The following is a 12,218-nucleotide window of genomic DNA, read 5'->3' as shown; positions in this document are numbered from 1 at the left end:
GCCTGAAGGAGCTTGTTTGCCAAGTGAGGACACATAGAAGGCACCCTCTGTGAGGCACAGGCCCCTTGCAGTTCTGCTGGCACCCTCATCTTGGCCTTCCCAGCCTCCTCAACGGTGAGCAATACATTCCTCTTGTTTATAAATTGCCCAGTCTGTGGTATTTTTGTTAAAACAGCCTGAAGAGATGAAGCCGATCTACTCCTTTTGACAGAAACTGTCCCATCCCAACCCTCACCACCTGGGCAGCCATGTTTTCTTCCATATGACCCTGCCCCATTCTTGCTCACAGCTGACTGGACCAGGAGTGGGCACCTAACTTAAAGGTGGTCATTCTATTGACTTGGACCAATTAGAGTAATAATCAGCTGGTATTCCTACATAGTGGGCAGGCCTGGGTTCACCAAGGGGCCGAGCAAACCTGTCTGTTACCCTGAGGGCCAAGCTCCAGGTGAGCTCCCCTCCAGCTGAGCCAGGAGCCAGCCTGGGTCTGATCACGGGAGTTATGAGGAAGCAGGGAAAGCTAACAGCAGTGAGAACAGGGCAGACTCAGCAAGAAGGGAAGAAAGACAGACGCCGCAGGAGGAGCGGCTCCTGGAAGCTGCCTCAGCTCCCAACAGTCTCAGCCCTGAACAACATGGATGGCTCCAATCAACCCTTTGCTTGCAGTAACTCAAGCGAGTGTCTGTTCCCTGTGTGTGAAACCGCTGAACCAGACAGTGCAACATCATCTAATATTAGGCGCTCAAATGATTTTGCACAGATGAATCAATGGCTAATTACAGTGATGCTGCTCTGTGTGCACCACCCCCACCCAGCTCCCGCTGCCAGCCTAGGTCCCTGCCCAGTTGGAAGGAAGTGTACATGGACAGACTGTCTGGCTCCATGGGTGCCAAATGGGTCCTTCATGCCAGCCCCCTTGCACTGGATGAGAGAGCGAGGCCCAAAAGTGGAAAAGCAGCTGGACAGGCAGCCAGACTGGCTGGAGCTCAGACCCTCCAGGAGGGCTTCTCAGAGGAAGACCCCAACACCCAGAACCCCTAGCATCAAACCCACCTTTGATGATGTCTGCGTCTTCCAGCGGCAGCTTCCACAGCATCTTGTACTTGCTGGCTGTGTCAATGACACTGGCTGCCGTGTACCTGTGGGGAGCCAATGGGGCGCTCTGGCCAGGGTCGGGGAGTGGGGCTCAGAGAGGGACAAATGCTCCCCCTGTTGGCACCACCCAAACCCCGGCCCAGCCACTCACAGGCTCATGGAGCTGCGCCGCAGGGAGCCTGACTTTCGCTTCAGAGTGGTGCAGACGATGAGGTCCGTGAACAGGAAGAGAGACCGGTCCTTCTTGCCACCGATCGCCTTCTGTGGAGCCCAAGGCAGAATTCAGGCTGGGTGGACACAGTCCAGAAGCCCACCCCCCTGCCCATAGTGCCCAAGGGGACACTGAGACCCAGGGAGAGTGAGGGCTCTTCCCCAGCTTCCCAGAGAGTCAGAGCAGAGTGGGGACTCGACCAGGGCTCCCCTCGGGGTGAAAGAGCAGGGAGACCTGCAGGTAGAGGGTGTGAGCAGAAGAGAGGACAAAGTGAGGAGGTGGGGACAGCCGGACAGATACTGGGACACTTCTTACCACTTCAATGACCATCTCCTGTCTCAGGAACCGCCGCAGAGGGGCCTGGAGCTGTGGGACAGGAGGGACAAGGCATCTCGAAGGCCAGTTATTAATCCCTATCCCCTCCAAAAATCCCAGTGATCCCTCGGCCCCACTCCATGGGCTAGGCCAATGGAAGCAGCATGCTTCCCACCCTCAATGCCCTTGTGCTGCCAGGCCACAGGACCCAAGGTCAGAGACAGACGTGGAAGAACAGACAGGTGGAGACGTGTGGCCACAGAGGCTGGCAGACATGGATGCAAACACACTGTGGTTCCGGACATGGACACAGCCACGATTCCAGGTGGCCACAGATGCACACAGAGGCCGAGTGGACACAGATGTGGGTGGGGTGGGGTAGGGTGGGGTGGGGCAGGGCGCACGCACATCCTCCATGCCCTCGATGTGAGCCTCTATCTCCTGCAGCACACGGGCATGGCGCTCCGCCTCCTCGGCACTCCGCACACCCTTGTTGATGCGCTCAGCCACCTGCTTGATGTTCCGCTGCGCCTCCAGCAGGAGTGGATGGTCCGGGTGGTCCTCAGGTGTATGCTTCAGGAGGTCCTGGGGTGGGAATGGGGAGCAGACCTGACTGCTTAGCTACCCCTGGGGCCCCAGACTGCTGGAGCAGGAGGGACTATGGGTAGACACCAAAGAGGACTATCTTTCCTACCTGTCCCCTAGGGACCCTGATGTCAGGCTCAACGAGGCAGGGGCCTTAGACCTCCTTGTATCCCCCCATGCTTCCAGGCCTTGCCCACTTGCCCACCCAGGTCCATGCCCACCTTCACCAGAAGCTCGTAGCGTGGGATCCGCTGCACAGGCTTGATCATGAGGTCAGACAGCGCCTGCTTCTCCTTGTTCTCACGCATGCTTTGCTGAAACCCATGGATGGGCATCATGTGAGGAATGACATGCCAGGAAGACTATGTCCAGGGACAGGTCCCCAGCAAGCCTCTCCAGCTCAGCCTGAGAGCGGAGGCTGGCCCACTGGCTGGGACTATGGTACCCACGCTGGGAGCTCCTGGGGCCCTCAAAGCTGGCCCAAGGTGAGGGTCACCTCCATCCCCCTGCCCTAGCCCACAGTACCTCTAGGAACTTGAGAAAGGCAGGCCTCGCCTCCTTGGCCACACGCACAGCATCCTTTGCATTGAGGAAGTTATCGATATAGGCAGAATAGATGTTTACTAGGACATCCTTGGAGAACTGTGGAGGAGGAGGCAGGTTGGGGACCCTCAAGGTGTCCCTCACCCCACCTCACCCTGTCCTAGTTTTCACTGATTCATGAGTCACCATCTTTTCCCTCCAACTAGAAATGATACAATCTCTAAGGGATCAGGCACATGTCCTGTGGCTCTAAGTGTGGTCGTGTTTAGGCGTATGTGCATGTGTACACATGGATATACGAGTGCTCATATTATCTGGGTGTGACTGTTCATGTATGCACATATGTAGACCTGAATGTATCCTGTGAGCTCAGACCTGGTTCTCTCACTTCCAACTGGGCATTTCCATCCCTAGACCTCCACCCTCACGAAGTCCAGCCAGGCAGGTCTCCCTTTCCCCATTCTCTGAGTGACACAGACTCATTCTAGCCATTTGGCCTTTGCTTATGCAGATCCCCCCACCAGGAATGCCCTTCCTCATCCAAATCTCGCCCCGCCTCAGGGCTGTGCTCCAGTTCTGCCTCCTCTCGGAAGTACTCCTTTCCCTGACTAGAGCTCTGCCTGGTACGCCACCTGGCCTCTGGCTTCTCCTGATCTCCTAGGACAAGTTCTCCCTCTCCATGAAAAGTGCTCCCATCCCACCCACAGTAAAGCCCAGCTCAGGGCAGGACATACAGCTGGTGGCTAATACCTGCTTGATGCTGATGGCGGACTAAATATGGAGGTTATTGGTAAGAAGCCTTGTCTGGGAACCAGGAAACCTGGGTTCCTGTCTCAACTGTACTGTGGATAAGCTACGTGACCACATTAGTGATATTTCTGTACCCCTCAGAGTCCTGTCTTTTTTTTTTTTTTTTGAGACGGAGTCTCACTCTGTCACCTAGGCTGGAGTGTGCAATGGCACGATCTCGGCTCACTGCAACCTCCGCCACCCAGGTTCGGGCGATTCTCCCGCCTCAGCCTCCGGAGTAGCTGGGATTACAGGTGCATGCCACCACGCCCACCTAATTTTTGTATTTTTAGTAGAGACGAGGTTTCACCATGTTGGTCAGGCTGGTCTCAAACTCCTGACCTCATGATCTGCCTGCCTCGGCCTCCCAAAGTGCTGGGATTACAAGCGTGAACCACTGCGCCCGGCCAGAGTCCTGTCCCTCTAAGGTGCCAAGTGCCCCTGCCTCTGGACAGAACAGGGCAGGGTGTGAAGAAGCAAAGGGAGGAAGACAACCCTCACCAACCACCCCCACCCTGGGACACAGCATCCTGTGCTGACCCCTCCGGGTCCAGGGCTTCGCCGTAGTCCATGGTCAGCATCAAGGTCCAGGCAGGGGGCTGAGCTTACTGACACTGAGAGTGATGATGGGCTGGAGACATCAGCACTCAATCCAAGCTGGAACCCCATCACCCCTGTCTGGTCCCATCAGTTTCTGGGTCAGCAAGGACATTCTAAGATGGTTCAAGGCCCCACCCCACAGCATAGCAAATATATTGAAACATACATCCCACAGAAATAGATATAATTTTTCACTTGTAAAATTTTTGCAAGAATTTTTACAATTTTGCTTTTGAAATTATGTGGCTCTGAGAAACCATTTAGTTTGCATTTGGCTATGATTTATCAGTCATCATGGTGTATTCTTGGGAATTCTGGCAAAATAAAATGGAACTGGAAGTTTTTCAAATGTAATTAAATTCTTATAAATACTAAATTTAACAATGAATGAAAATGGCATGCTATGTTTTACAGGCATTTAATTAAATGCTTATTGGTTTTGCTTTCGATGTTCTTTTTGAATTCTGAAGTCAATACCTTTTCTAAGATCTCACTCGCTATTGTGGGAGCTTGACAAGTGTACAGTGGAGATCTGGCCTGTGGTGAGAGGCAGTATGGGGTAGGGGAAGCCGGGGCACTGGAACCAGGCTTTCTGGAGTTGAGTCCTCCACCACTTCCTAACTGTAACTTTCATCAGGTTACCAATCTCTCCATGTCTCAGTCACTATCTTTAGAATCAGGGTAACCAACGCACTCTCCTACCAGGGCTGTTGATAGATACAACACATTTAGAACAATGCCTAGCAAACAGGTATGCTATTATGATGAAAATATCTGATGGAGAAAAAGTCAAGACTCAGCCAGCATCAACATCCAGCCCAAGTCCAGGGTCAGGACCAGGGCAGTTATTTTGGTTCCAGTAAAGATAGGGTGGAGGTCAGTACCAGCATCCATCTGAGGTCTGGGTCAGCGTCCGCACCAGCTTGGGGTCAGGACTAGAGTCACGTCAGTGCCAGCCAGGAGCGGGGTAGGGTCCAGGATCAGAGTCAGTGTCTGGCTGGGGTCGGAGTCCGTGCCAGAGTCTGGCCAAGCTTTGGGGTAGGGGAGTGTCCAAGTTCAGGTCCACCCAGGGGCTGGGGTAAGTACCAATGTCTAGCCAAGTTCTATGGTCAGATCTGGAAACAGAGTCAGTATCCAGGTGGGATGGGTGGGGGTGGGGTCCGTGGCCACATCCAGCCCCTTCCAGGAGGGCCTGTGCTTGTGGGAATTGGCAGCAGCGGGGCCACTCACCGACTGGACGAGCAGGGCTCCCACCTTCTGCTGGGCATGCCAGGTCTGCATGCAGTGCCGAACCTGCTCCAGGAATTGCTCGTGGTGCTCCAGGAGCTCGGGGATCTGGTCGAAGATCTCGTCCACCAGTGAAGGGTCACAGAGCACGGAGTTCTCTGGCTGCTTCAGCGGCTGCATGTAGCCCTGAAGGACCCACAGGGTCGGTGCACACTCCCTCAGAGATGCCGCCCCCACCACACCTACACAGGGCCCCTGTGTGAGTGCACACAGAATCACCCGGGCCTGCAGCTCAGCGCCCTGCCTTCCACATCTCCCTCATGAGACCAAGAGCTCCAGGAGGGAGATGGGAAGATCTAAGCTCATGCCCTCATCGCTGAGCCCAGGGCCTGGCACAAGATGGGAGCAAGGACGCTCAGGAAGAGGTTTGTTTAATGTATGAACAAACAGAGCTTGGAATGAGGAAAGCAAGATGGGGCTCCTTGAAAGACCTCCCACCACTAACTCAGCAAAGATTTACTGAGCACTTACTACGTACCAGGCACTGTTCTAAGAATTGGGAGACAGCAATGTATAAGAAAGACCACAATCCCTGTCCTGATAGAGCTTAGGATCTAGTCTGATGAAACACACAAACGGAAGAAATTTTTTAAAATATCATATTTCATCAAATCTAAGAAATATTTTATTTTATGACGAAGTCTTGCTCTGTCACCCAGGCTGGAGTGCGGTGGTGCGATCTCAACTCACTGCAACCTCCGCCTCCCGGGTTCAAGTGATTCTCCTGCCTCAGCCTCCCGAGTAGCTGGGATTACAGGTCTGCGCCACAACACTCAGCTAGTTTTTTATATTTTTCATAGAGACAGGGTTTCACTATGTCGGCCAGGCTGGTCTCAAACTCCTGACCTCAAGTGATCCACCTGCCTTGGCCTCCCAAAGTGCTGGGATTATAGGCATGAGCCACTGCGCCCAGCCATTATTTTATATTTAAGAAAAACTGGTTGCCAATTAAATTATGATATGCTACCAATTATAGAATGAACCCTGATTTAGGGATATTAAAACGCGAAGACCACGAGTCTCAGAATGGATGACATATGGAAATCTCGTAGTCAGTTAAAAGGCGATAATGCGGCAGGGCGCGGTGGCTCAAGCCTGTAATCCCAGCATTTTGGGAGGTCGAGGCCAGGCAGATCACCTGAGCTCAGGAGTTCGCCACCAGCCTGGGCAACACAGTGAAACCCCGTCTCTACTAAAATACAATAAATTAGCTGGGCCTAGTGGTGTGCGCCTGTAGTCCCAGATACCTGGGAGGCTGAGACAGAAGAATTGCTTGAACCTGGGAGGTGGAGGTGGCAGTGAGCCGAGATCGCGCCACTGCACTCCAGCCTGAGGACTAAATAAATAAATAAATAAGGCGATAATGGTGTGAAGATAGAGCAGGGAGGGTCGTGGGAGATCATGAGACCACATGGGAAGTTACTGGAGACTCTTATTGACACTTTCTGAACGCTGTTATACAGATTTCAGACCTGCTGGCCAGTCTGTGACTAAAACTCCCGTTATTTTACGTCAAATCTACGTGCAAAGATGTTCCCCTAGCTTTAATAGCCCAGCTCAGGGGCCGGTGCGCTTGTGGAGAGGTCGCCCTCTACTGGCCCTACGCTGTAACTGCAGGCTAAAAAAAACAGGAGGGTGTTGTTTGAAAAAGCATATGTGATGTTGCAATAACATTTATATTAAACATTTTTAAAAATCTGGCTTGTTTTGTAAAACAAGCTTGAGAAAGTAAAGCTCAACAGAATCCTCTCTCTTGGCTGGGGATTCTGAAAAGGCCGGGATGATGGTGAGGAGATAGGCAGGCAGTCTCCTGCCCACAGGTGAGCCAGCTCCTGGGCTGGGTCAGGGCCCGCTGCTCCACAAGGAGCAGGAGCAGCAGCTAAACCGCTCACCTCAGGGTCCCGGCACCCCACACAGAAGCGGGCACACAGCAGGAGGAAAGAACAAACAATGACTGAGAGCCCAATACGGAACCTGGCACAAGCCAATGCCCCATTCACTCACCAATGCTCAGCCTGCCCAGCACTGGGGCATCTCACTGCACAGACCCCCTGTGGGGCTGACACATGAGTGGTGGGAGGCAGGAAAGAAGCACGATAAATGCGTAAATTACTATACAGCATGGTGGAAGACAGTGAGTGCTACGGAAAAGAGAAGTGGGATCAGGGTGCCAAGGGGAGGGGGACTCGTCAGGGTGGTCAGGGGAAGGGGCGTTTGTTAGCTTCGAGTGTCAGAGTTGAAAATAGGCTCAGAGGGTGAGGGTGACACTGAGGAAGGGATGTAGCCCTAGGACCTAGTTTCAAATCCTCCCTCCTTCTGGCTCCTAACTTCTATTTAACTTCTTTGTTCATTTTGAACACCTGGCCTGCAGGAACAACACTTATCAATTAGTGAGGGCAGTGATGGTTCGAAGTTAACACTGGGACTATGGAGTCCAATCTCAATTTGAATACCACTGTGCTCTAGGCAGTGTAGACTAGTGGGTGACAGGGAGAACCCAGAGTCACAATGACAGGGTTTCAACCCAGGGTGTGGCACTTCCTAACTCTGTGACCTTGGACAAGCAGCTTTACTTCTCTGTGTCTCAGCTGCATCATCTGCAAAATGGGGTTTATAGTCAGGCTTATATGAATTTACTCACTGTTCTAAAGCATTCAGAACAGTGCCTGGCACATAGTGGGCACTCAGTGAATGTCAACTAATACCACTCACTAGATGGATGACCCTGGGCAAGTTTCTTAACCTCTGTGAGTCTTCGTTTCTTTGTATAAAGAATATAATATCTACCTCACAAGGTTAATACAAAGATTAAATGCAACTTTTTACCATGCTTGCAGAGCTGCAGGCAGTATGCTAAATTATAAACATGTGTCTCTAATTAACTGCACTCAAGGCAGGTCTATTATTATCCCCTCTCTACAGATGAGGAAACTGAGGCAGAGACTGGTTATGTGACATGCTCCGGGTCATGCAGCTGGCCAGGAGATGGAGCCAAGTTTGAATGCTGGTGGCTTGGCTCCAGAGTCATACTCCTGACCTGGAGCCAGACCTCAGTCCTCCTCCCACACTCCAGGGCTGCCTCCAGGGACGGTCTTTGGGTTCACGTGACACCCTCCTGTCCACCTCCACCTTGCTCACCCAACATTCTGGCTTCCTCCACCCACAGGTCCTGCACCCTCTCCCAAGTGCAGCCCTGGACGGGTCTGGGAGATTTGGCGGAGGTAGAAAGACATGCCCAAGCCCTGCCTGCTCCCAGCTCTCCACTGCTCCTGACTCCTGCCTGTGAACAGGCATGGGTGCCGTCATCACCTTTTGTTTTTTTTGTTTTGTTTTGTTTTTTGAGACAGAGTCTCGCTCTGTCACCCAGGCTGGAGTGCAGTGGCAGGATCTCGGCTCGCTGCAACCTCTGCCTCCCGGGTTCAAGCTATTCTCCTGCCTCAGCCTCTGGAGGAGCTGGGATTACAGGTAGCCTGCCACCACACCCAGCTGATTTTTGTATTTCTAGTAGAGATGAGGTTTCACCACGTTGGCTAGGCTGGTCTTGAACTCCTGACCTCAGGTGATCCGCCTACCTCAGCCTCCCAAAGTGCTGGGATTAGAGGTGTGAGCCTCCGCGCCTGGCTCACCTTTAAGTCTTCTTGATGGGAGATAGGTAGATTAGCTACATTTTGCAGGCAAACTTGAGGCTCAGAGAAGGTGAGGTGATTAGGCTAGTATCACCCAGTGAGGACGCACGTGACTTCAACCCTGGACTGTCTGACCCTAATGCCTCCAACTCTCATCTAGGGGATGGCAAAGGACCCCCTCAGGCCCCTGCCATGTCTACTCCTCCTGCCTGGCATTCTGGCTGCATCCTCCCATGGCTTCCTTGCGTGCACAGGAAAGCCCAGCTCCATGCCCAGCAGCCTTCCTTCCTGCAGCCACCTGGCCACCTCTGGTTCCCTGCTGCTCTAGGTTCCTTCCAGCCTCCTGGCCTTTGTCCCTGACATACCCTCTGCTGGGAGCCATCCCTCCGGGCTCTTTCTGCTGAAATCTACTCACCCTTCAGGTCTCAGCTAAATACCCCAACCCCAGGGAAGCCCTCCCTGACCCCGACACCAGGGTAGGCCCCCTTCTGTGTTCTCATCTCCCCATGCACTTTTTAAAAACAATAAACAAACGCATTGTATTTTATGGTAAAATACATATAATATAAAATTTACCATTTTAAATGTACAGTTCAATGGTATTAAATACATTCATAATGTGTGACCATCCAGCTCTAAAACTCTTTTTATCCTGTAAAACTGCAACCCTGTACACCCATTAAATAGTAACTCCCCATTCCCTCCTTTCCCAGCCTGGCACCCTTTCCCTGGCACCCACCATCCTACCTTCCATCTCTGAGTCTGACTACCCCAGGAACCTCATGCAAGTGGAATCAGACAGTGCTTGTCCTTTGAGACTGGCTTCTTTCACTTGGCATCATGTCCTCCAGGCTCATCCATGTTGTAGGATGTCAGAATTTCCCTCCTTTTAAGGCGTATCCCTGTTGTGTGTAGGTTCTCTGTGTGTGCACTTCTGCATCACCACATGCCACTGTGTGTTGATGTCTGGCTGGTCACTGTCAGTCTCTGCCATAGACCGTGAGCTCCAGGAGACAGGCCCTTACCACTAATGCCCCTGCACAGAGAACACTACCTGGAGCGCAGAAGGGGCTCACCGTGGATTTGTGGAGTGAGTGAATGAATGAATGAATGGTGAGTGAGTGAATGCTCTGGATGTTTCCATAGGGTGAAGGTTCTACCTTTACCCTTTGCTGTCACTCTGCCCAGCTAGCTTGGGCAAATTCATCCTCAATGGTGACTGCCAGGCCCCACTTCAGCTCAGGTCCACACTCATCCAGCCCCAGGCCATGTGTGCATCCAGGCTGTGGGCCTTCCCAGGTTCATGTCTGAGCCTGAACTCACCACCTTGCTCCAGTTGTGCTTCTCCCCTGGGCCCCACCTATCCGAGGCCAGGAGCCCAGACATCATCTTGGGCTTCCCCACCTTGCCCCCCACAACCAACCAGTTACCACGCCTGGCCTGACCAGTCCACTTCCTGAGTGTCTGTCCCCAGCACTCCCTTCCTGTAACCTCTATCCTTGCCGGATCTCAATGGCCTTGACCTCCTCTTCTGCCACCCACCTTCCCAGCTGTCAGACAGACTTCATGAAGCATGAATCAGGCCACACACCTCCCCTGCTCAAAGCCCTTCGCTGATCATCCACGGACCCTGGCAGAATCTACTGCCTCCAACTGGTGTTCTAGGCCCCCACAGCGTGGCCTCTGCCGACTCCGACAGCATAGCTATGGGACCAGCGCGTTGTGCTCTGTGCTGGCCACGTAGACCTCCGAATGTGCCAGGCCTCACTTGGCTTTGCAATGTGCTATTCCTGCTGTTGAGAAGACAGGTCATGGTGGAAGTGAGCACCTCCTCCAGGAAACCTCCCTGACCCCACGCTTAGCAGGTGCCCCTCGATGTTTCTAGAGTGCCCGTATACTCCACTACGTACTCAGCAGGGCGGTGAGCTCCTGTGGCAGGGGCTGGGCTCTCTTATTCATTCCTGTGTCTCCTGCACCTGGAACAGGGCCTGCACACAGCAGGTGCTCAATACTGAACTCTATTCAACTCATACTTCCCAGTCAGTGAATACAATGGAGGCGGCACATCAGAGGGAGTTCACGGATCTAAGTTCAGGGTCAGGGTTGCCAGGGGGACGTGGAAGAACAGCAGGGTAGGGACGCCTGCCCTGGGGTGGCCTGGCCCCTCTGCATTCTCTCTTGCCCGGGAGAAGCCTTCCTCCTTCTCTGGAATGGCCATGCTGGGGGTTCTTCATGGAAAGGCGACGGATGCCAGGGACACGGCTCTCTGGCCTCAGTCCCTTGTCCATGAAAGGGGTTTGCTCACACCCATCTGACAGCCTCCTAGGCTCAGAAAGGCCATTCTCAGGGGAGTGGGCCCCGAGCCCCACCTGCATCAGGGTGCGCAGCGACTCCACATACGACTGCTCTGTGTCCAGCAGGGTCATGGCCACGTGCTTCCGCATGTCCTGTGGGGACAGGAGCAGAGGGTGAACAGGGGTCTTTTTCCCCCCAGACCCCATCACCTGTAGCCACATGGTGCCCAGAGAACCCGCCCACACCCTCTCCCTGCCCTCCTGGCCCTTCCCTCCTGCCGCCCAGGGCTCCGGGCTGTTCCCCCGAGGCCCCCAGGCCCTCCACTCTGCCAGGTCTTTGCTCAGCTGCTCCCCCTGCCCCCGACTTACACCTCAAACACGTGGCCTTGCACAGTTAGGCACTCACTCCTCTGCCCCTGCCCCATCCACCCACTTCTTGGCTCCTCTGCCAGGCTATTGAAAAAGGGTCTTTAAAAAAATCAATAACCTTTCACATTTGCAAAGAACAATGCCTCCAGGCCAGCACCCACTCCAGCTGCCATCTCTGAAGACCCCAACTTCAGGCTCAGTGCTATGGGGACATGCCCACCTGGCTGGGCTGCCCACCATCCCTAAGAGTAGACACCATCACCCTGCTACAGAGGAAGACACTGTGGACCAGAGAGGGGAAGTCAGTGCTGAAGGTCACACAGCTGGGCAGTATCAGGGTTCAGCCAGTCTCAGACAAGGCTGGATCCCAATTCTGTCATTTAAAAACATTAACTATGCCCTCCTATGCGCCAGGCACTGTTCTAAGCATGACATATTATTCAATAATCCTGGCCACCCTGTGAGGTATATGTTATTATTCTCTTCATGTTAGGGAGGGGAAAA

At 53.3% G+C, this 12,218-nt stretch overlaps 1 protein-coding gene across 1 annotated transcript in view, besides 1 other annotated feature; it reads right to left on the bottom strand.

The window, feature by feature from the left end:
- The window catches only part of ARHGEF17 (Rho guanine nucleotide exchange factor 17), a 61,113-nt gene that overhangs the window by 11,008 nt on the left and 37,887 nt on the right, over nucleotides 1-12,218 (bottom strand). Inside the window, exons 2-9 of the mRNA NM_014786.4 lie at nucleotides 11,421-11,498; nucleotides 5,369-5,551; nucleotides 2,732-2,848; nucleotides 2,428-2,520; nucleotides 2,030-2,206; nucleotides 1,622-1,672; nucleotides 1,247-1,356; nucleotides 1,054-1,139 (exon numbers count right to left, since the gene is read on the bottom strand). Coding sequence (NP_055601.2) covers nucleotides 1,054-1,139; nucleotides 1,247-1,356; nucleotides 1,622-1,672; nucleotides 2,030-2,206; nucleotides 2,428-2,520; nucleotides 2,732-2,848; nucleotides 5,369-5,551; nucleotides 11,421-11,498 — 895 coding nt within the window. The remainder of the gene's footprint in view (nucleotides 1-1,053; nucleotides 1,140-1,246; nucleotides 1,357-1,621; nucleotides 1,673-2,029; nucleotides 2,207-2,427; nucleotides 2,521-2,731; nucleotides 2,849-5,368; nucleotides 5,552-11,420; nucleotides 11,499-12,218) is intronic.
- Nucleotides 7,326-7,827: an enhancer, noted in NCBI's record as "H3K4me1 hESC enhancer chr11:73061599-73062100 (GRCh37/hg19 assembly coordinates)". NCBI's record gives its function as "activates a minimal SCP1, AML or CMV promoter by ChIP-STARR-seq in primed H9 embryonic stem cells {active_cell/tissue: H9 hESC(primed)}" and the evidence as "EXISTENCE:reporter gene assay evidence [ECO:0000049][PMID:30033119]".

This window comes from Homo sapiens, chromosome 11, assembly GCF_000001405.40.
Source record: "Homo sapiens chromosome 11, GRCh38.p14 Primary Assembly".
NCBI lineage: Eukaryota > Metazoa > Chordata > Mammalia > Primates > Hominidae > Homo > Homo sapiens.
Note: the sequence above shows the minus strand (reverse complement) of the source record. Positions and strands in the feature narration are given on the sequence as shown.